The sequence below is a fragment of the Homo sapiens genome, chromosome 9, assembly GCF_000001405.40.
Source record: "Homo sapiens chromosome 9, GRCh38.p14 Primary Assembly".
Lineage (NCBI taxonomy): Eukaryota > Metazoa > Chordata > Mammalia > Primates > Hominidae > Homo > Homo sapiens.
Window position 1 is genome coordinate 110,712,322 of NC_000009.12, and position 22,680 is coordinate 110,735,001.

Here is a 22,680-nt window from a genome sequence, read left to right on the forward strand (position 1 = left end):
ATAGTATCTGTTACACCAAACCATCCAGAGGTTTTCTCCCTGATCCTAATATATTGTTATTCATTTAATTTATGGCCATATCAATATACCTTCCTTAAGATCTCTATGGAAAGAGAAAGAAATAACTAAGTTGACGGATTCATGGAACTTCTCCTCCAAGTGGTTCTCAAATGCCAGTGCACATCAGAAGCATCTGGAGATCTTACTAAATGACACAGCTTCAGGATGCATTCCCCAGTTATTCATATTTGATAGGTTTATGTTAGTGCTTTTTAACAACACCCCAAAGGATCCTTAATGCAGTGACCCATGAACCACACTTTGAAAAACACTGACTTCAGGTTTTCTACTTAGAGGGACTTTATTCCAGATGAATCTAAACAATTCAAGGAGAAAGCTTATCTGCAAATAGTAAGATATCAATGTTAGGATAGCTTCAAATTCATCCATTTGTGGAATGCCTACTATGTTCTATGCAATGAGGTAATTCTTAAGGATACAGACGAAAGAGAGATGTGGTTCATTTCTTGAAAAGTGTTCAAATTCAGTGAGGAAGATGGATATGCAAACAAGTAAAATGCAATATATTTACAATGATAGAAGTTTGTGTAGGGTTATATACACAGGACAGAGGAGATAGGGAAAGGTCAGGGAAATCTTCAGAGAGGTGAAGGCCAACAGGGCTTTGATTGATGAAGAGTGAGGAGCTCTTGGTGAGGATCATATCACATTGAGGGAGGAAAAAGAAAATAGAGGAAAAAATTCAGATTTACCATGCAAGCACAGCCTGACACTGACTCATAACCAGGGAGTAAAAGAAGGATTAGAGAGTTTGGGACAGTATCTATTAGTGGTGCTATAAAAACAGAATAAACCATGATTTGACTCACAGGCTAACATGGAGATCATCTTCTTGGTATCTTCTCTTGGACCTTTTTTTCTTTTTTTTTTTTTTTGAGACAGAGTCTCTCTCTGTCATTCAGGCTGAAGTGCAGTGGTGCAATCTCTGCTCACTGCAACCTCCGCCTCCCAGGTTCAAGCGATTCTTATGCTTCAGCCTCCTGAGTAGCTAGGATTACAGGCATGTGCCACCATGCCCAGCTAATTCTTGTATTTTTAGTGGAGATGGGGCTTCACCATGTTGGCCAGTCTGCTCTCAAGCTCCTGGCCTCAAGTGATCCACCTGCCTCAGTCTTCCAAAGTGCTAGGATTACAGGTGTGAGCCACCATGCCTAGCCCTCTCTTAGACATAATTTTAAACGGGTAGATACCTAACATCCTGACAATGTGGGAACCTATGGTTTGGAGGCATATGGCCTTATCTGGCATCCAGAATTCCATCTAAAAGGTTACAGAAATGTTCCCAACCCAAGCCACTTTAGGCAACTGGGATACTGTGGTATGATTTAAGATTAAGTTTATGGCTTCTATTTATTTTTCCAACTAAAATTTCCGGTTGGCTAAAACAAAAATCTTATTCTTAATAGACCTCAGCTCGTTTAACGCATGTCAGAGTGCAGGCATCTTCCAGAGCTTAGATCAAAAAAGTTATTTAAAAGTAAACTAAGATTTTGATAAACGTACCATGGTTATACAGGATGCTAACATTAGGGGAAGTTGGGTGAACAGTACATGGAAACCTTCTATACTATCTTTGCAACTCTTATGTAAATCTAAAATTATTTCAAAATAAAAATGTTTTAAAAAGGTAAACTAAGAAATACTTCTTTGTCCTGGTAATTAAGCAGTTTAGCATCTCCTCCCATCAAAAACAGAAAATGAACTTTCTTTAAGAAGAAAAAAGTGAATCAGGAATGAAGTCACATATTTTATTGGCTGATGATTAAACTTCTAATATATTTTCAGAACCAGTTTAACAAAAGTGCGGTTGCTTTATATACACCTAAGACTGAAACAAAAACAAGTAAACTTTGTGTAGCTCTTGTCTGATTTACATGGTAAACATTTCTTGCTCGTACCCACTATTCACCATCCATATTTACAAGTGAGAAAAACGTTACCATCTCAAAGGCCACAGAAATGTTCCCAACCCAAGCCATGGGAGGGAATCCCACATCATTGAGGCAGGCAGCCCTTATTTTGTCCTGGAGAAGAGAGTCACTGTATTTGAGGATGATGTGTATGTTTTCTAAAGGAGCTTGCCTTCTGACTCCTTCAGAGTTGGAGCCACAGTGGGTAAACCTCTTCAGGCATTGCCCTGCTTCAAAGCAGACAGAAACGTAAACAGTGGCAGTACACCAGGATCGGGTTTCTTTGCTTTAGCTACCAAGAGTCAGGAAAGAGAAACCAGGTATTTATTTAGGTTTGTCATTATTGCTAGGTTTTCTTTTAATGATAAGGGTTTGAGAAAAGAAGTATCTGTTCAGAAACAAAGTATCACAGAGCCTCAATAGGATTACTTTTTCAACCACCCAGGGCCACGTGTTTTTTAAGTCAAATATAAAAACAATTTAACCCATTTTGTTCTTTGTAGTCCTTGCCTTCTAACAGGCATCTCCAACTCAGTTATTCTTAAAATATGATGCTAGATGAGACAAATAGTCTATTTAAGAGCAGATTCAAATAATCTGTATAGATGAGCATCTATGTTTTAATAACAGGGTCGAAAGAATTTCTCTCTCTACAGAGTGATTTCTCTGTCTCAAATAATTCAGTTTATGAAAGGAGTTAAGGATATGCTTTTTAACACCGGAAAAGGGTACTTAACATGATCAATATCTAGGATACAGCCAGCTAAAGCAGATTGACGTTACAAAATAAAATAAAGCCTTCTCCCTTTGAAGTCCGCTAAAGGAACAGCTTTCATGACTCAGAAAGATATCCTAGAGATCAAAAAAGCTCTGGAGAAAGAAAAAGAACTAGAAGACCTGGCTTCAAAATTTACCTCTAGTACTTCCCAGTTATGAGTTAGCTGCTATATTAATTAATTGCTTTATATAAATCATGTCATTTAATCTTCTCCACAATTCTATGAGTTGAAAGTTAATAACTACGTTTTCTGGATAAAAAACCTGAAGTTCAGAGAAGTTGAACAGCAACTCAGAAAAAACAGCTAGTGAGAGTGAAGTGAGGATCCAATTCTACCACCTGGATTGCTGTTAGGGTATTGTACATGAGTGTAAGGAAAGTATCCTACTACTAAGATTTTGACTTCCCAACCTCTGAGTTTGTCCTTTGAAAAAGCCCTGCAATGGTGTTCTTATTTACCAAATGGTCAGAGATTTTCTCAAGATATTGACTATAAGGAAAATGATAAACAACTTAATGAAATGGCACTATGAAAATAAAATAATCTAGGAACAAATATTATTTTATTTTCATAGTGCCATTTCATTAAATTGCAGCACTATTCACAATAGCAAAGACTTGGAACCAACCTAAAAGCCCATCAATGATAGACTGGATAAAGAAAATGTGGTACATATATGCCATGGAATACTATGCAGCCATAAAAAGGAAAGAGATCATGCCCTTTGAAGGGACATAGATGGAGCTGGAAGCCATTATCCTCAGCAAACTAACACAGGAACACAAAACCAAACACCACATGTTGTCACTTATAAGTGGGAGCTGAACGATGAGAACACATGGACACATGGGGGGAACAATACACACTGGGGCCTGTTGGAGGCTGGGAGTGGGAGGAAGGAGAGCTTCAGGAAGAGTAGCTAACGGATGCTAGGCTTATTACCTAAGTGATGGGCTGATCTGTGCAGCAAACCACCGTGGCACACGTTTACCTATGTAACAAACCTGCACATCCTGCACTTGTACCCCTGAACTTAAAATAGAAGTTGGGGGAAAAAAAAGAAAAAAGAAAATATTAGCTTGGTGCAAAAGAAATAATGGCAAAAACTGCAATTACTTTTTTTGCACTAACCTAATAAAGTGATCTTCAGAAAACAGTCTACTTTTTTAAAAGGCAAAAAACAGAGTGGTTTATATAATTGGAATAATTTTTACATCTCTTTTTGATACACACTTCTTATTTTCTAAAATTTTCACAAATCATCTTAAACATTAATGCTGTCACCAAATAAATTCTCACAAAGTAATAGAAAGCTCAGGAAATTAATATTTGAGAAGTAAATTTAGAGGCAAGGATAACTTAAACTGAGAAGCATTTATAATTTTCCATTTTGAGAAATACTCTGTAGCATTTATAAACATTATATTTTAATTTTCTATTTCAATAAATTAATATTGTACCAGAATACCAAACTGCATTTGGAATCATAGGCAACTGTTATGTTTGTCCTTTCTTGATATTTGAAAAAAATGACCTTCCTTTTGAATGCTGCCCTCATAATTTAAAATTGGCCTTCTCCTTCACAGGGGACATTCACGATAAACTCTCAATAGGCTTTAATTTGGAGAATTTTAGTTTTGCCTTAGCAGCTTTTCTTATATCTTCTCTTAATTCTATAAGTTTAGGCTTTATATGTTTTGAAATTATATTGTTAAGTGCATACACATTAATTATTGTTGTAATTCCTCCTCTGCAGATTGCATTTTTAACCTTTGGATGATGTTCCTCTTCATCCCTTTTTTATAATACCTTTTAGCATAATTCTGTATTGTTTGATATTAATATCATTACCACATTTTTCCTTTGTTTTGTGTTTTCCTGTGCTCTTTGTTTGGTATTCTTCTATCCCTTTCTTCCAACCTCCCCACAATCTTGTAAGCAGAATATAGATAAATACTTTTGTAATTCAATCCAAAAGACTTTATTTTTAGTAGATAAGTGTAGGTCTTTGTATTTATTCTGAAAATTTATTTCTATTATTCTTTAGACGATTTCTATCATGTATTATGCTGTTTCTTTTCTCTGCTTCTTTTTTTAATTCCTTTTCTGTTTTCTGGTAGATCATTATATATTTTTTTAATTCTCCACTTTAACCCACACCACAACCACTTTGCTGATTTTGAAATTGTGGATCACAATGTTATATTTCAGTGATTACTTTTACATTTTAATATACATATATGATGCTATAATTCTAACAGTTTAAGATCATGTAGGATCTTCTCCAGTCTCTTTAACTAAAGCAAGCATCTTATCATTCTTTAAAATCTTATCTAACAGCACCTTCCCTCATCCTCTGTCACTTTCCTTGGCATTATCCAAAATTTTATTTATCTTAAAACACTGAATTATTTTATGGTCCATAAATAGTTCTATCAATATATGCCACCAATTGCTGTGTTCATCATTCAATTTTCATGTGCCTTTTTTCTTCTGTTTCCAATTTCTTATTTCTGAAACATATTATTCATTAGTTCATTCAATTAGATCTGTGAGCAGATATCTTTGTCTTTGTCTTTGTATGTTTGAAAATGCCACTATTTTACCCTGATCATTCAGGTGAACATTGAAATCTAAGTTGACAGATATTTTCCCTCAGTGTTGTCCTATGTCTTCTTACATCAATTGATGAGAAGTGTTCTGTCATTGTAACTATAATTCTTTGGTAGGTAACAGAGTTCTTCTATCTGGTCTTTTTACCTTTGATTACCAGTACTTTTACCATAATTTGTCATAGAATCTGTATTAGTTATCTGTTTCTCTGTAACGAATTACACAGAAACTCAATGTTTTAAAACAATAAACGATTATCACTTCATAGTTTCTATAACTCAGGAAGTACAGAGTGACTTTCCCAGGCCAATGTATGGATTATGTTTGCAGTAAAGATGTTGGCCACTTCTGCAGTCATCTGAAAGCTTGAATGGGCTGAAGGATCTAATTCAAATGTGGTTGACTCATAAGTTGGTATAAATTGATGCTGGCCAGTGCAGAGCCTCCCTTTGTCCCCATGTGGGTCTCTCCTCAGGCTGCTTGAGTGTCCCCACACTATGGTGCCTTCCTTCCCTAAGAGTAGATGATCTAATAGAGAACAAGGAGGAGTTAGTAATGTTTTTCATGGTCTAGCTTCAAAAGCCACACACAGTCACTTCTGCCACATCCTATTTGTTAGAAGTGAGTCTAAGTCCAGCCTACTTCCAAGGAGAGCAGAGGAACTATACTCTACTTTTCCAAGGGAGAATTTGTGGACAGGTTTTAAAACTACAATAGTGTCAATGCAAAATGCACCAGAAAGTCTCAGTAACAGAATCACACAAGCAGAAGAAAGAACTTCAGAGCTTGAAGACAAGGCTTGAACTAACCAAATCCATCAAAGACAAAGAAAAAATAATTTTTAAAAATGGACAAAGCCTCCAAGAAGTTTAGGACTATGTTAAAAGTCAAAACCTAAGAATAGTTGGAAGGAAGAAGAGAAAGAAGATAAATCTAAAAGTCTGGAAAACATATTTGAGGAAATAATCAAGGAAAACTTCCCTGGCCTCGCTAGAGATCTAGACATCCGAATACAAGAAGCTCAAAGAACACCTGGGAAATTCATTGCAAAAAAATCATTGCCTAGACACATAGTTATCAGGTTATCTAGAATCAAGACAAAGAAAAGAATCTTGAGAGCTGTGAGGCAAAAGCATCAGGCATCTTATAAAGGAAAATCTATCAGAGTAACAGCAGATTTCTCAGCAGAAACCCTACAAGCTAGAAGAAATTGGGGTCCTATTTTTAGCCTCCTAAAACAAAGCAATTATCAGCCAAGAATTTTGTATCCAGTAAAACTAAGCTTCATAAATGAAGGAAAGATACAGTCTTTCCAGACAAATGCTGAATTAGCCACCACAAAGCCAGCACTACAATCTCAAATGAACTCTAAATCTTGAAACAGATTCTGGAAATACACCAAAATAGAACCTCTTTAAAGTTTACATCTCACAGGACCTATATAACAGTAACACAATGAAAACAACAACAACAACAACAACAAGGTATTCAGGCAACAAATAGCACAATGAATAGAATAGTACCTCTCATCTCAATACTAACGTGGAATGTAAATGGCCTAAGTGCTCCACTTAAAAGATACAGAATAGCAGAATGGATAAGAATTTCACCAACCAAGTTTCTACTGTCTTCAAGAGACTCACCTAACACATAAGGACTAACATAAACTTAAGGTAAAGGGGTAGAAAAACATATTCCATACAAACAGACACCAAAAGCGAGCAGGAGTCGCTATTCTTATATCAGACAAAACAAACTATAGAGCAATAGCAGTTAAGAAAGACAAAGAGGGAGATTATATAATGATAAAAACACTAGTTCAACAGGAAAATATCACAATCCTAAATATATATACACCTTAACACTGGAGCTCCCAAATTTATAAAACAATTATTACTAGACCTTAAAAATAAGATAGATGGCAACACACTAACAGTGAGGGACTTTAATACTACACTGATAGCACTAGACAGATCATCAGGACAGAAAGTCAACAAATAAACAATGGAATTAAACTATACCCTACAACAAATGGACCTAACAGATATTTACAGAACATTCTACCCAACAAATGCAGAATATACATTGTAATCATCAGCACATGGAACATTCTCCAAGACAGACCATATGATAGGCCACAAAACAAGTCTCAGTGAATTTGAGAAAATAGAAATTATATCAAATATTCTCTCACACCACAGTGAAATAAAACTGGAAATCAACTCCAAAAGGAACCCTCAAAACCATGAAAATACATGGAAATTAAATGACCTGCTCCTGAATGATTGTTGGGTCAACAATGAAGTCAAGATGGAAATTTAAAAATTATTTGGACTGAACGATAATAGTAACAAATAGTGAGACAACCTATCAAAACCTCTGGGATACAGCAAAAACGGTACTAAGAGGAAAATTCATAGCATTATCTGAAAAAGCACATATAGACAATCCAAGGCCACACCTCCAATTCTCCATGCAATTGGTGAAACAAGAACAATCTAAACACAAATGCAGAAGAAGAAAAGAAATATAAAAGATGAGAGCAGAACTAAATGAAATTGAAATGGAAAAAAATACAAAAGATAAATGAAACAAAAAGCTGGTTCTTTGAAAAGATAAATAAAATCGATAGACCATTAGCTAGATTAACCAAGAAAAGAAGACAGAAAATTCAAATAAGCTTTATTAGAAATGAAATGGAAGGTATTACAACTGATATCACAGAAATATGAAACATTATTCAAGGCTAATATGAACACCTTTATGGACATAAACTAGAAAACCTAGAGGAGATGGATAAACTCCTGGAAGTATACAACCCTCCTAGATTAAACCAGGAAGATGTAGAAACTCTGAGCAGACCAATAACAAGCAGAAAGATTGAAATGGTAATTTTAAAATTGCCAAGAAAAAGCAGTCCAGGACCAGACAGATTCATAGCTGAATTGTATCAGACATTCAAAGAAGAATTGGTACCAATCCTATTGACACTATTCCACAAGATAGACAAAGAGGGAATCCTCCCTAAATTATTCTATGAAGGCAGTATCACCCTAATACTAAACCAGGAAAGAGCATAACCAAAAAAGAAAACTACAGACCAATACACCTGATGAACACAGATGCAAAAATTCTCAACAAAGTACTAGTGAACTGAATCCAACAACATACCAAAAATATAATCTACCATGATCAAGTGGGTTTCATACCAGGGATGCAGGGATGGTTTAACATATGTAACTCAATAAATGTGATACACCACATAAACAGAATCAAAAACAAAAATCACGATCATCTCAGTAGACACAGAAAAAGCATTTGACAAAATTAAGCATCCCATTATGATTAAAACCCTCAGCAAAATCAGCATAGAAAAGACATACCTTAAGGTAATAAAAGCCATCTATGACAAACCCACAGCCAACGTTATACTGAATGGGGAAAAGCTGAAAGTGTTACCCCTGAGAACTGAAACAAGACAAGGATGCCCACTTTCACCACTTCTATTCAACATAGTACTGGAAGTCCTAGCCAGAGCAATCAGACAAGAGAAAGAAATAAAGGGCATCCAAATCAGTAAAGAGGAAGTCAGAATGTCACTGTTTGCTGATGATATAATCTTATACCTAGAAAACCCTAAAGACTCATCCAAAAAACTCTTAGAACTGGTAGATGAATTCAGCAAAGTTTCAGGATACAAAATTAATGTACACAAATCAGTAGTTCTCCTATACAGCAACAGTGACCAAGCTGAAAATCAAATCAAGAACTCAACTGCTTTTACAATAGCTACAAAAATAAAATAAAATACTTAAGAATATATCTAACCAAGGAGGTGAAAGACCTCTACAAGGAAAACTACAAAATACTGCTGAAAGAAATCATAGATGGCACAAAGAAATGGAAACACATCCCGTGCTCATAGATAGGTAGAATCAATATTGTGAAAATGACCATACTGCCTAAAGCAATCTATAATTCAATGCAATTCCCATGGAAATACCACGATTACTCTTTACAGAACTAGAAAAAGCAATCCTAAAATTCATATGGAACCTAAAAAGAGCCCACATGGCCAAAGCAAGACTAAGCAAAAAGAACAAATCTGGATGCATTACCTTACCCAACTTCAAACCATACTACAACGCCACAGACACCAAAACAGCATGGTACTGGTATAAAAATGGGCACAGAGATCAGTGGAACTGAATTGTGAACCCAGAAATGAAGCCAAATACTTACAGTTAACCGATCTTTGACAAAGCAAACAAAAGTATAAAGTGGGGAAAGGACACCCTATTCAATAAATGGTGCTGGGATAATTGGCAAGCCACATGTAGAAGAATGAAACTGGATCCTCACCTCTCACCTTTTACAAAAATCAACTCAAGATAGATCAAGGACTTAAATTGAAGACCTGGAACCATAAAAATTCTAGAAGATAACATCAGAAAAACTCTTCTAGACATTGGCTTAGGCAAAGACTTCATAACCAAGAACTAAAAGCAAATGCAACAAAAACAAAGAAAAATAGATGGGACTTGGCCGGGTGCATTGGCTCATGCCTGTAATCCCTGCACTTTGGGAGGCCAAGGCTGGCAGATCACTTAAGGTCAGGAGTTGAAGACCAGCCTGGCCAATATGGTGAAACCCCATCTCTACTAAAAATACAAAAATTAGCTGGGTGTGGTGGTACGTGCCTGTAGTCTCAGCTGCCCTGGAGGCTGAGGCAGAGGAATCACTTGAAACTGGGAGGTGGAGGTTGCAGTGATCCTAGATAGTGCAACTGCACTCCAGCCTGGGCAACAGAGCGAGACACCATCATGGGAAGAAAAAAAAAAACATGGGACTTAATTAAACTAAAAAGCTTCTGTACAGCAAAAGAAATAATCAGCAGAGTTAACAGACAACCCCCAGAGTGGGAGAAAATTTTGCAAATAATGGATCTGACCAAGGAGTAATATTCAGAATCTACAAAGAACTGAAACAGCAAGAAAAAAAAAATCCCATCAAAAAGTGGGCTAAGGACATGAACAGACAATCTCAAAAGAAGATATACAAATGGCCAACAAGCATGGAAAAATGCTCCACATCACTAATTATCAGGGAAATGCAAATCAAAACCACAACGTGATATCACCTTACTCCTGCAAGAATGGCTATAATAAAAAATAATAGATGTTGGCATGGGATGTGGTGAAAAGGGAACACTTTTATATTGTTGTTGGGAACGTAAACTAGTACAACCACTATGGAAAACAGTGTGGTGATTCTTTAAAGAACTAAAAGTAGATCTACCATTTGATCCAGCAATCCCACTACTAGGCATGTACCCAGAGGAAAAGAAGTGATTATACAAAAAAGATACCTGCACATGCATGTTCATAGCAGCACAATTTGCAATTGCAAAAATATAGAACCAGCCCAAATGCTCATCAATCAACCAGTGGATAAAGAAAATGTGAGACATATAAATACACACACATACATACATATACACACACACCATGGAATACTACTACATATACATACACACACACACACACACACACACACACATACATACCATGGAATACTACTTATCCATAAAAAGGAATGAAATAATGGCATTCACAGCAACCTGGTTGGAATTGGAGATCATTATTCTAAGTGAAGTAACTCAGGAATGGAAAACCAAACATTGTATGTTTTCATGCATAAGTGGGAGCTAAGATAATGAGGATGCAAAGGCATAAGAACGACACATTAGACTTTGGGGACTCAGGGGAAAAGAGTGGAAGGGGGATGAGGGATAAAAGACTATATATTACGTACAGTTTACCCTGCTCAGGTGATGGGTGCACCAAAATCTCAGAAATGAAAAAATTTTAAAAACTACAACAATGTCAAATTGTTTGTATTAATCCTCCTATGCAATCCCAGTGCCACTTGAAAGGCAGTCTTCAAGTACTTCTGAAAAATACTCATCCCCAAAACACAGGCAAAAAATTTTGATTCAGTAACCTAAATTGTGTGTCTGGCATTTAATTGTTTGTTTGTTTGCTTGCTTAAACTTCATAAGTGATTCAATGAATTTCGAGTTTTAAAAGCCACCACTTTAACTGATCTGGGGTTTCATGTATTGCTTCAAGCCTAGAAAATCTCCACCACTATGTCTTCAAATATAACCTCTCTGCTCTTCCTTCTCTTCTCTACTGCTCACACTCCTGTAAGCATATATTAGAGCTCTAAATCTGTTCTTCCCATCTTTTAGTTAATCTTTCACATTTCTGTCCATCTTTCTCTCTGGCCTCAGGGCTGTATGATGGCTTAAGTGCCATCTTCTGATTCATTAATTCTTCACTTGACCTTGTCCAAGCTTGAGTTTATCATATCTTTTGTGTCTCTGCTTGTTATTATCAATTTCTAGCATTTCTACTATTATATGTATTTCAATTTTGCCTGTTTGTTTTATAATTTATTTTTATACATATACTATTATTTAAGGTTCTTAAACTCCTTTTGAACTTCTTTGTTTTCTTCCAGAGTAAATTAATCCCCCAGTTACTGAATTCATTAAGTTGAAAGTCAATTTATTATTGCTTAGCAATTGTTTTCCTAATGTGCTTTGAAATTATGATTTGCCACTGTAAATCTTATCATCATCTCTCTGAAATGATTTATTCCTTTTCCAGTAATTTTGGGGGTTGCCCTCTACTTCCTTCATTCATATAAGATATTTCAGGGAGCAATTTTAGGACTCTATTCTGTAATGTTTTGACATTCAATCCAGACCCAGTCACTAAACCGTCAAAAGCATAACACATGTTCTGACTACGATACTATGACTGCTTTGGTTTCAAGCAGCGAGCCTCCAATCCCCCATCTCATATAGTACACTTCTAGAGAAATCAAACTTCAAGCCCCTTTCTCTGTTTATAGAATTGGAACTCAGCAGTGACTACTTATCTGTTGTGTTTTGTCTACTTTCTTATACACTGAGATATTCATCTTGTTTTTTAATATGGCTTTGTCTTTTTAGGTAGCAAAAAATTATATCTTCATTATTGCTATGTACTTATATTCTACCTAGATGACTGAATTGTAATATCATAACACCAACTTGAGTAGTACTCTTTGTGCTATAATTATTATATATCATCATATAAATTCTATCCAGCTGAATATATAAAAATAAAAATTTATATTATTGTTTGAAAGAGGTCAAAAGTATTGATGTTTAAAAGTGATATTTTTATCCATCTAGAAAACACAAGAGTATCAACTCCAAAGCTACTTTAACTAATATGATAATTAATCCTATTTACAAATAAAATGCACTTATGTACACATATATTAACAGTTTTCCTATATAGCAGAAATAACGCATTAGAAATTAATTGAAATAATGGCATTCACAGCAACCTGGTTGGAATTGGAGATCATTATTCTAAGTGAAGTAACTCAGGAATGGAAAACCAAACATTGTATGTTTTCATGCATAAGTGGGAGCTAAGATAATGAGGATGCAAAGGCATAAGAATGACACATTAGACTTTGGGGACTCAGGGGAAAAGAGTGGAAGGGGGATGAGGGATAAAAGACTACATATTACGTACAGTTTCATTCTTGTTAGGTGGATAGAAGTGGGAAAAGGGTCTTATAGATAGTAAGTATAAAGAGATTGGTTTTGGTTTGATTTTGATTTACAGATATTCTCTCTCCTTTACAACACAGTTGATCAAAATGGATTGCTACTATGGTACTGAGTTTCTCATAAATAAAACTTTTCAAGAAAATTATGGATTACTATTTACCTTGGATGTTGAAGTGAAGTGAATAAATTATATCTCAGATTAGTCCAATAAGAGCAGTCATTGATTATTCTAAATACCCTATTGGACAGTTCCAACAAAATAGGATGAAAATGCCCCACTAATGCAACTGGCAAATAACTTGTTTAACAATAAATGTGTTCTTCTTTCTACAAGAGACTGTGCTGGACTTTAGAGGAAAATAAAGCAGCAACAAAAGTCTGATACTAATCCCAGTTTAATTCTAGCCCTAACCTCCCTAAAGAAGATTACAAATCAATTTGGAAGACAAGAACAATGCATTACATATAAAGCAGTTAAATAAAAATTTAGTAATTAAATGGGAATAAAGACTATGAAGCAGAATATTTTAAAAATGATAAGTGGTAAAACAATAAGTTCAGAAGTCAAGAGTGATCCTAGTAGGCTAGGCGAGCAGGATATGTGGAAAAACTAGGACTACTGTTTGAGCTCGAAATGACCAAAAAAGTCATACAGCGAATAACTATACCTGAGCTTAAATAGGCCTATAGACTTTTCTTGCATAATTTTCTCTAATTTAAAGTAACCTCAATTGTGTGTGCATGCATGTAAATGTGTGTATGTTAATGCATAAACATATATAAATTTGTATCTATAAAGAGGTATAATATATTTGCATTAGAAAGAAATTTTGATAGTCTATAACTGAAACTATAATTTCTGGTAGAACTTCTAAGCTTCCTCCCAGGAAAATGACAAATCTTAGACATTCTTTCATGTCTTGAGTTCATCCACTGTTTACTTACAGTGGATGAAATAGGTGTATTCTTTCAAAATTTTGCACTGCTTCCAATCCCAAATAAGGCAAAATGAACAATAGTAGCAACAATAACATCAAACTGAAAAATTTCAAAGGAAAATTAATATTATCTAAAATTGAGCCTACGCTCAAAGTAGAGTTCAAGTATAGTCCTGTATAGATCATGGAGTGAAACTGAAACGAGACTCAGAATTGACCTGCAGTTGCCCTTGAACCCTGACAAAGAACACTCTAAGAGAAGAAAATGACAAGTGAATATAATTCTCAAAATTTACTAATGGAAAAAGTTTACTGATACTCTTTAACTTTAGTGGAATAAAGTTTTGGAGATACCACAGTTGCAGAATAAAGACACTTAATATCCCTATAAAAACACCATGGCCATCCCAACCACTCTAAGTTACTTGGCTGATAAAGGAAATAGAAAAAGAGAGAGAGGGAGAGAGTTTTTGTTTTGTTTTGTTTTGTTTGTTTGTTTTTCCAAACTTAGAAACAAACACATTGTTCTGGGGCTCTAGAAAGATGTGTCCAGCCCGAAGGCATTCAAATGCAATTTTTCAAGTCTAATCTGGCCCAGTCATGGACCTTCTTTCATTTCTCCTGATTGAGGTATGTGATACAGACAGGGAATCTGCAGTTTCCTAATGTCCAGATGACCAGTTTTAAATATGAAAGAAACTAATATTTATCCAATACCTATGCTTTACCAGGAACCGTTACGAATATTGTAAAAAAAAGATTTCTTCATTTGAAGGTACATTTGACAGACGACCTCTAAATCTCCTTTTAACGATAAATATATTCAATTCAGAAGTTTTAAATAGTTTTTGAACTTGATGCTTATAAACAAAAACCAAGAATGTACCACTGAGTTGATGGAGGTAGGGAAAGTTCAGACAGTAGAATCTAAATGAGGAATCACAAATTCACTTAAATGTAAGGGGATTGGGTGTTAAGTGTAAATATGAGACCTTCTCATTGGGAAGACTCAATGTCTGAAAAGGGGGTTGAATTTCTGGCTCTGCACCTGCAGCAAATCTCCAAGACTTAGATCCTTTGTCCGGAAAATGGGCTAATTTTGGCGGGGAGGAAGTGAAGGGTTTCACTATTTATTTATGACAAATATTCAACACTCACAATTCTCTCCAATCAGAAGTTCTTTGAGATGCTGTTGGTCTTGACCAGTCAGAGAATGGAGTCATCTGACTCACCCATTCTGAGAATGGTCCTACAGACACTATAGGTTTTAAATTGGCCATTAAACCTGCCTATAACCTTGTCAACCTTGGCTAAGTTCATCTGGATGGATGCATGGTCCTTGGCACCCATGATGCGGTTGCTGGCGGAACATTTCCACTGCATGTTCAGGTCCACAAACTCAGGCTGGATAATATCAATTATGTTCAATTACAGAGACATGGGGAGAGTCAAATGAGATCGAGTAAAAAATGTGCATGAAAATATCCACAATCTGTGAAAGACTATGCAAGTGTATTATTGTCATTGAATGTTGTTAGCAATAGCATGGCCATTTTTTACTTACAAATAAATATTGCAGTTGACATATTACTAACTCTAAGAAAGGTTCAAATTTACATGAACAAATAAAACTTCAGGAAAGAAAACTAGAGTTCCACTTGGGGACTACGTCTGACATGGTTATATTAAACATTTTGGAACAATTAATTTGGTTTTGTTGTCTCTCTTCTAGGATTTTTAAACATTTATAAATTCTCAATTCTTTCTATTCAATCTAAACATTTTACAATATCCTGTGGACCTTACTTCCTTAGTAGATTCCCAGAAGGTAATGATTTGCTCCTTTCTGCTCTCCAAGCAGCTTCTGTGTTGGTGCAGAGTTGCAGATCTCTGTTGGTGGTAGGTTCTATTCTGCAGAAACCCCCTAATCCTCTGTTTACCACAACATGAGTCTATTGCCATAGAAATGATAGCTGAGATCCCAGATTGAACACCACTGACTTCACAGCAGGGCCTGGTAAGAGGAGACTCTAAGCTACAAGGGGGGAACGCAATGTATGAGAATAGTAGGCACTCTGTAGCCTTGAAAGAAAGGGTAACTGTCAACATTAGAATAAAAATTCATGAAAGAGCTACATTGTTAGGTATGCTGTAGTTTATTTTCTGTATAATACTGCCTGGCTAAAAGTAATCATTCTGAAATCTTATGTCATTTAACAGTTTGCTTTCAAAAGGTCTGCAGTTTTCCTTGATTGCATTTGTTTCTTATTGAAATAAGAAACAAGCAGCTTCTAATTAATCTTGTTGCACAACTGATGTTTCTGTGGTCAAAGATTTCCCTTTTCATGATGTGTTGTTTTGTTTGCGTGTTTATTGTGTGTGTTTGTTTTGTCTTGTTTTTATTAACAGAAGAAAGTGAACCCGAACAAGATACTAAAGGTATTTTTTTTTCTTTCTGCATGGCTTCTTTTTAATTGTGTAGCTCTTTTCAATTGTTTATTTTTGTTGACCTTATAAACAGCTCTAAGTGCCATTTTTAAAGAAATAACAAACAATGTATGGGGAATATTAAGTCACAGCACTTAACGGTGTTATTAGATAGGCTTCTTTATTATATAATATGCTTACTGACCATTTGCATTTCTTAAGCAAGATTGAGTTAAAAGTAATGTTTAAATTTGGTGTCTCTGGAAATACAAACAAAATGAAATGAAATAAATCAGCATGAGAGTATAAATCCCACATAGATTGGAAAAGAAAGATACCCTTTGACTAAAAGACTTTTGGTGGGGGTTGGGGGGCTTTACAGTCTTTGGATAAATGTTAGGATGTCAAGGTGCCAATTTGGTTTTTATTGTGATGATTTCAACAAGATCAGGAGTATTATGCAATTGCTCCAAATCAATAAAAATTAAGTTATTTTAATTGCACAGAGACATATGTTTGTAGTGGAATATGTTTAGAGGAAAATAGCTGGAAATTAAATTTGTATGGGAAAAATTCTACTTTTTCCCCAACAGTTTTCTGTCAACAGTTTCTGTTTTCTGTAAAAAAAAAAAAAAAAAAGAAAAAAGAAAAAAAAAAAAGGTACCTTGCATTCTGATTAAGCCCCAAACTTTGTGCTCTTCTAACCTAAAATTTGATATTTGGGGGATGAAATTTGTGAGTTCTCATGTAATAGAGTTGACTGTAGGAATTAATCTCAAACTGGTATTATTTAAAACAGTACCTCCTTATCTTAGTATCTCATATAAAGTACAGATAATGTTTTCTTATTTTTAAATACCAGGTTGCTTACAATTAAATACAGGTAAAAAAGCATTTTACCTGGTCCTATGTGAATTTTTTTTCTTAATTTATTCCTATCAGTCATTGCTGGTTTGAATCATGTAACCTAAAAACCCTTTTCAAAGGAAGCTAGAAAATAACAAAAGAGGAAGGGAAAATAAAATCCATGGGAGCTCCTTGTGTCCTTTGAAATAACTGCTCAGAAATAGAAATTGATAAGAGACTTAAGTATTCCTCTGGCACTGCTCCCTTACCAAGAAAAGAGAGGTAGTTCATCTCCAGCCAAACCACTCATTTATTTCAGGACTTAACATGGATGCCCTGTCCCTTGGGCTTTTTATTACACTCCAGTGCAATTTCAGAGTGAATTATGCCTTTATCTTTTTACTATACCTTACTCCTTAAGATGACAATCAATAATAAAACTGATTACATATCTGAAAGTGCTTTGAAATAAGGAGAGAGAGAGAATATAATGTGGGTATGTTATAAAAGATTTTAGAATTGCTGGCTTCTTGAGCCCAATTTTGAATATAGGATTCTCCACTTGCAGTTAGCCTGCAAGTCTGCTCAAGAGACATTAAAGCCCCAAACTCATGAATAGATCCCATGAGAGAAAACCCAGAGTTAAATATATTACCTTGGTCTATTTTCCATGTTGCAGATGCACTTGCTTACCCACAGGAAACCAAGTGGTTTAGGGCTCACAGTGAATTGGAGAAGGATGGATAAGACTATGTACAGAAAGAGGGGTTTGATGATTTTTTTGTTTAAAAATCCATATCAAAACAGTTATAAATGCTTTCCAACTTACTAAGTAATTTAATGTTCCTTCTATTAAGTGGTTTAATTGTTTATGTAACAAAAACACTTTTATATTCTTTTATGCAGATAAAACACAAAATAGGGATATTCTATGCCCATTTTATTTAATAAGAAACATGTCATATAACTTTTTAAATTGATGACCTAGAATGCATTTTCAGATTGTGACTACCACTGAAATAATGGGATTTACTGTTGACTTGTGTCCAAGTTTGTTATTGCCGGTGTATTATTATTCATGGAGGTTAATCTGGCATTTATTTTTAATTGCAACTGACTTTATTGTTTACAATGCTTGAAAAACATGTCAAAATTTCCCTCATCACCTTTTTACCTTTCATATTTGAAAAATGGTAAATTTGAGTATTATGCAATTGCTCAGATAGAGTTGGGTAAAAACATATCAGCTTTATTGCTGATAAGGCTGGAATGAAAAATAAAGATTTCTATTCCATGTGAGGATTAGACTAACATAACTTATGTTTCCTCATCCTCTTCCTCCCCACCCCACTCTTTCCCCTTGACTCTTAGTTGTAGGATGAAGAAGCCCTGACCTGGTAAACTTACTTACACACATCAACCCTATATCCTTCTTAGATGCAAGAGAGCTGGGAGACTGATAGCTCAGAATAGGATTGAGATACACATAACATATCCAAGTCCCTTCCCCCAACCTTACCAGAGAAGTCATCATGTTCGTTCATTTATTTATTCGTTCACTCAGCAAATATTCATTGAGTGCCTACCATATATATATACCATGCAGGGTTCTAGAAATAGAGACAGATATGTAGATAGATATATAGATTGTATCAGTCAGCTCATGTTAAAAAGCAAAGCAAACCTTGCCCTTGTGATGCTTACATTCTAGAGAGGAGAGACTGACAAAAAACAAACAAGCAAACAAATAAATCAGTAATTACCAAATGATTCAGATAGTGGTGATATGATACAATATAAACAAGGGTAAGGGGAATGGGGATGAGAAAGTACTATGATAAGGAAACATTTGAGTAGAAACCCAGAAGACATCTGCTATCTCCTTTGAGAAGGGAGGAAGACTGGGAGGAAGGGTGGAAACTAACTTTCAATACTGAAAAAAGGGGGTTGAGTTTCTATTTTATCATTTAGAGAGCATGTGAGAGTGCAGGAGAAAGCAGCTTCCCTTTAATCCCTGGCCTTATTGTCCTCTTAACCTAATCCACTGCACTTAATGAAACCCATGGTCAGCCATAGCCTATCTGCCCCCTTCAGGGAGAAGTTTATCAGCAGTCTCATATTCATGAAGCTACCTATAATGTCAGCAGTACTCCTGTACCTGCCTGTGCCACACTGGAGCCCCCAGAAAGTTCCCATGGAGGGCAGAGTATTACATTAGTTAAATTAATTCCAAAGTCACGTTGAATTGACTCTGTTTTATTTACCATACCACACTATGCTTAGTTGTGTTGTGCAATGTGGATAATCAGAGGTTTCACAATAAGCCCAAATGATATTCCAAATATAATAACAGCCAAAAGAAAAAAAACTGCTATAAATTAGGACAAAATAAAACCTTTCCAAGAAGAATTTAAAGTCCCCAAATTAAAACTCTTGGCTTCATAAATTAAAGCAGCAAAACATAATCGAAATTACATTATTCTCCAATTTTTTATTCTGCTCATCTTCAGCCAGAAGGCTTTCATTCAAAAGGCGTTTTTGATTCAAAAAGTTCAAGGGTATAGTCAATGTTACTAGAACAGTTTTCTAGCACATGTGAGGTTGAAATGTGCTAGATTTTCCAAATCTCTCAAAGATCCTGCTTGTTTCAGATTCTCGGGCAGTGGGATCCATAGATGGTCATGCAGTAGTCCCACACTCAAAAAATTTAGGAAACACAAGCATAGCCCCAACCCCTACAAGAGTTATTTTAGCCAGATGATGCACATGGACTCTAAGTCTCCATTATTGTAACCAGAAAACATTAGAAGAGTACCTGGACGCACCCTCACTACGATGCCTGTCAGTGTTAGTTGTCAAGAGTCTGTAACGTGTGAATTTAGATTAAGTTGGGAGAATAAGAATCCAAGCAGAGGCACACATTGCATTTGGGTGATATGTCTCTTAAGTCTCTTTTAATCTATAATGGATCACTCTTTCTTTTTTACCCCCTAATGCTAATGATTTTCCCTGTTAAATATCTGGGTTTGATTGAATTGCATCTCCATAGTGTTCTTTGAAATGTTCCTCAACCCTTTAATTTTTGTAGATTGTTAATTGGACCCCAGGACTTACTTAAAATCAGGCTCAATTTTGCTTCTGGGGGACAGATTCAGCTTCATTTTAAACATTTGATAGCATTCTTTGTTATTTTTTAATAATCTCTTTTTGCCTTGAAGACAGCACCTTCCTTGCATTTCTTTTCTCCTGGTTTTGGGACCCACATTTCTATATCTAAAATATCAATATCAAAAGATAGGAAGTCAAATTAATTTAAATCTGCAAAAAGCCCCCAATAGTCAAACAAATCAAATGTTCCTTAATCTCTTTAAATTATGCAATGCTTTTTAAGAGGTACTCAACAATGAGACCAACTGGAAACACTACTCTGGACCTGTTCTATCATTGTCCTGCGTATCTCCTTATGTAGCACATGTGGTCTCCCATACTTTAGTTTAGAATCCAATATTCACAAATTTCAATTTAACTAGAATTAAGTTTCAAAGCATTGTGCTAATTGGGGCTTCATACTCTAATATTATATTCTGTGCTTAAGTCCTAGAAATCAAAAAGTAGGAGCATAAAATATACTTACAGTATAATAGGCCATCCAAAAGATTCCGTAATAGTTTAAACAAACACTGAATTTGAAGTCAGAAGACTTGAGTCCAGGTTTCTCACTCATCATTCTTGTTACCTTGGGAAACCAACTTACTTAAATTAACAAAGATTTGGTTTTCACTGCTATAAGATAAGAACAGGAATCTAGCCAATCTCTGGAGTCTCTTCCAAGTTTAATGATTCTGTGAATCTAAGTACCCTCCAATTTGTAATGCATTGTGAGCCTCAATCCCACTGTTTAGTTAAAGGTAAAATTTCTTCCTACATCAAAATAACCTCCTCTTACTTAATCAGTGGGGATTCAGGGTCAGAAAGGAATAGAAATTACTCATTCTGCTGCCTACACTTTATCTAAAATATCCTTTTTTTTTTTTGCCCAATATATCATCTGAAAAGTTTGACACAATTTGTCTGCCCTCCCACTATGATACAGTTGAGGGTGTAAAGTGTAATTATTTGATTAATTCAATAAAATACTATCCTGTGCTTGCTCTGGTCAGGAACTCTGCCTGAAACAATACAGCAGTCAACGAAAGGCAAGGCTTTTGGCTTCAAACAATCTAATGGGAAAGGGGAATAATAGACAAGTAAAAAATAAATAAGGTAATTTCAGATAGTTGTAAGGTCTGTAAAGACAATAATGTAGGCTGATGAAAAGTGAATGGGGGGAGGATTACACTTGATGTTGTGTGAGTAAGAAGGACCTTTCTGAGAAAATGTCACTTAAACAGAGACTTGAATGATTCAAGGAACCTACTACTTGAGGATCTGGGGGATGAGTGGTCTAGGCAGAGGAAGAACAAGGGCAAGTTTCCATGTTAAGAACAAGCTCAGTGTGTCCTTGAGTGGTGAGAAATATAGGGTTATAACATAAAGGGCTTGGAGGCTCGGCCATGGCATGTGGTATTATCCTTAAAACAGAGCAAACACTGAAGAACTGCACACAGGGGAACATGGTCTAATTTGCATTTCTAAAAGACCACCCTAGCTTGACCATTTCCTGCAGGAGCGTCACTCACCACTTCTGTCTTCCTAACAGTTTTTGCCAGGATCCTGCGGGCTCCTGAATCCCACAATGTCACCTTTGGCTCCTTTGTGACCCTGCACTGTACAGCAACAGGCATTCCTGTCCCCACCATCACCTGGATTGAAAACGGAAATGCTGTGAGTGTCATGTGTGTGGGGACTTGTCTGGGGAAGACCCATTGGTGGTGAACTTCAGGATAGACCATATAGTTGTAGTTACCCAGATCTCTGTCATTGGTCTCACCTACACCACTTTTCAAAGCCTCCCAATATCTTTGTCCTAGAAGCCATTGCCATAGAAATCAAACTCCAAGAGTTTGCTTCCTTCCATGTATCATGAGGAATACTAGAAAACCAATTTCTTTCTTTGTGCCTTTGTGTAAATGGGAAGTGGTAATAATATCTTCCCATATAAGTAAAATAATTTTCATTAAACTCATCACCGAAAGATTAGTTCCCTGCTAGAGGCTACTTTGATGGAAAGTAATCCGGAGTTAGAATCAGTGTCAGTTCAGCATTCTTTTCTTCATTTTCAATAGTGGTAATAATAACTGATGTATATTAAGTAGTTATTTTCAGCCAGGCTCTATTCCAAGCACTTTACCTACATACATTTATTTATTTATTTATTCATTCTACAAATATGTATTGAGCTTCTGAACATCAAACACTATTCTAGGCCCTGTGGATACAGGAGTAAACAAAACAGGCAAAGTTCTCTGCCCTCAAAGAGCTTACCTTCTCATGGGGAAATACGGGAAAAT

General features: G+C 35.6%; 1 protein-coding gene and 1 pseudogene across 8 annotated transcripts in view, besides 1 other annotated feature; one reads left to right on the forward strand and one right to left on the reverse strand.

Annotated features, from left to right (window-relative positions):
* The window catches only part of MUSK (muscle associated receptor tyrosine kinase), a 137,768-nt gene that overhangs the window by 43,531 nt on the left and 71,557 nt on the right, over positions 1 to 22,680 (forward strand). For 4 of the 8 annotated variants that reach the window (XM_005251994.4, XM_005251995.4, XM_017014734.2 and 1 more), the window contains exons 6-7: positions 16,367 to 16,396; positions 21,930 to 22,054. In XM_005251994.4, the coding sequence (XP_005252051.1) occupies positions 16,367 to 16,396; positions 21,930 to 22,054 (155 nt within the window). Of the gene's footprint in view, positions 1 to 15,940; positions 15,975 to 16,366; positions 16,397 to 21,929; positions 22,055 to 22,680 lie in introns of those variants that run through there. The other 4 variants (NM_005592.4, XM_005251996.4, NM_001166281.2 and 1 more) reach the window with 2 other exon arrangements.
* Positions 15,128 to 15,358, reverse strand: RPS21P5 (ribosomal protein S21 pseudogene 5; annotated as a pseudogene).
* Positions 15,720 to 16,239: an enhancer, noted in NCBI's record as "NANOG hESC enhancer chr9:113490321-113490840 (GRCh37/hg19 assembly coordinates)". NCBI's record gives its function as "activates a minimal SCP1, AML or CMV promoter by ChIP-STARR-seq in naive H9 embryonic stem cells {active_cell/tissue: H9 hESC(naive)}" and the evidence as "EXISTENCE:reporter gene assay evidence [ECO:0000049][PMID:30033119]".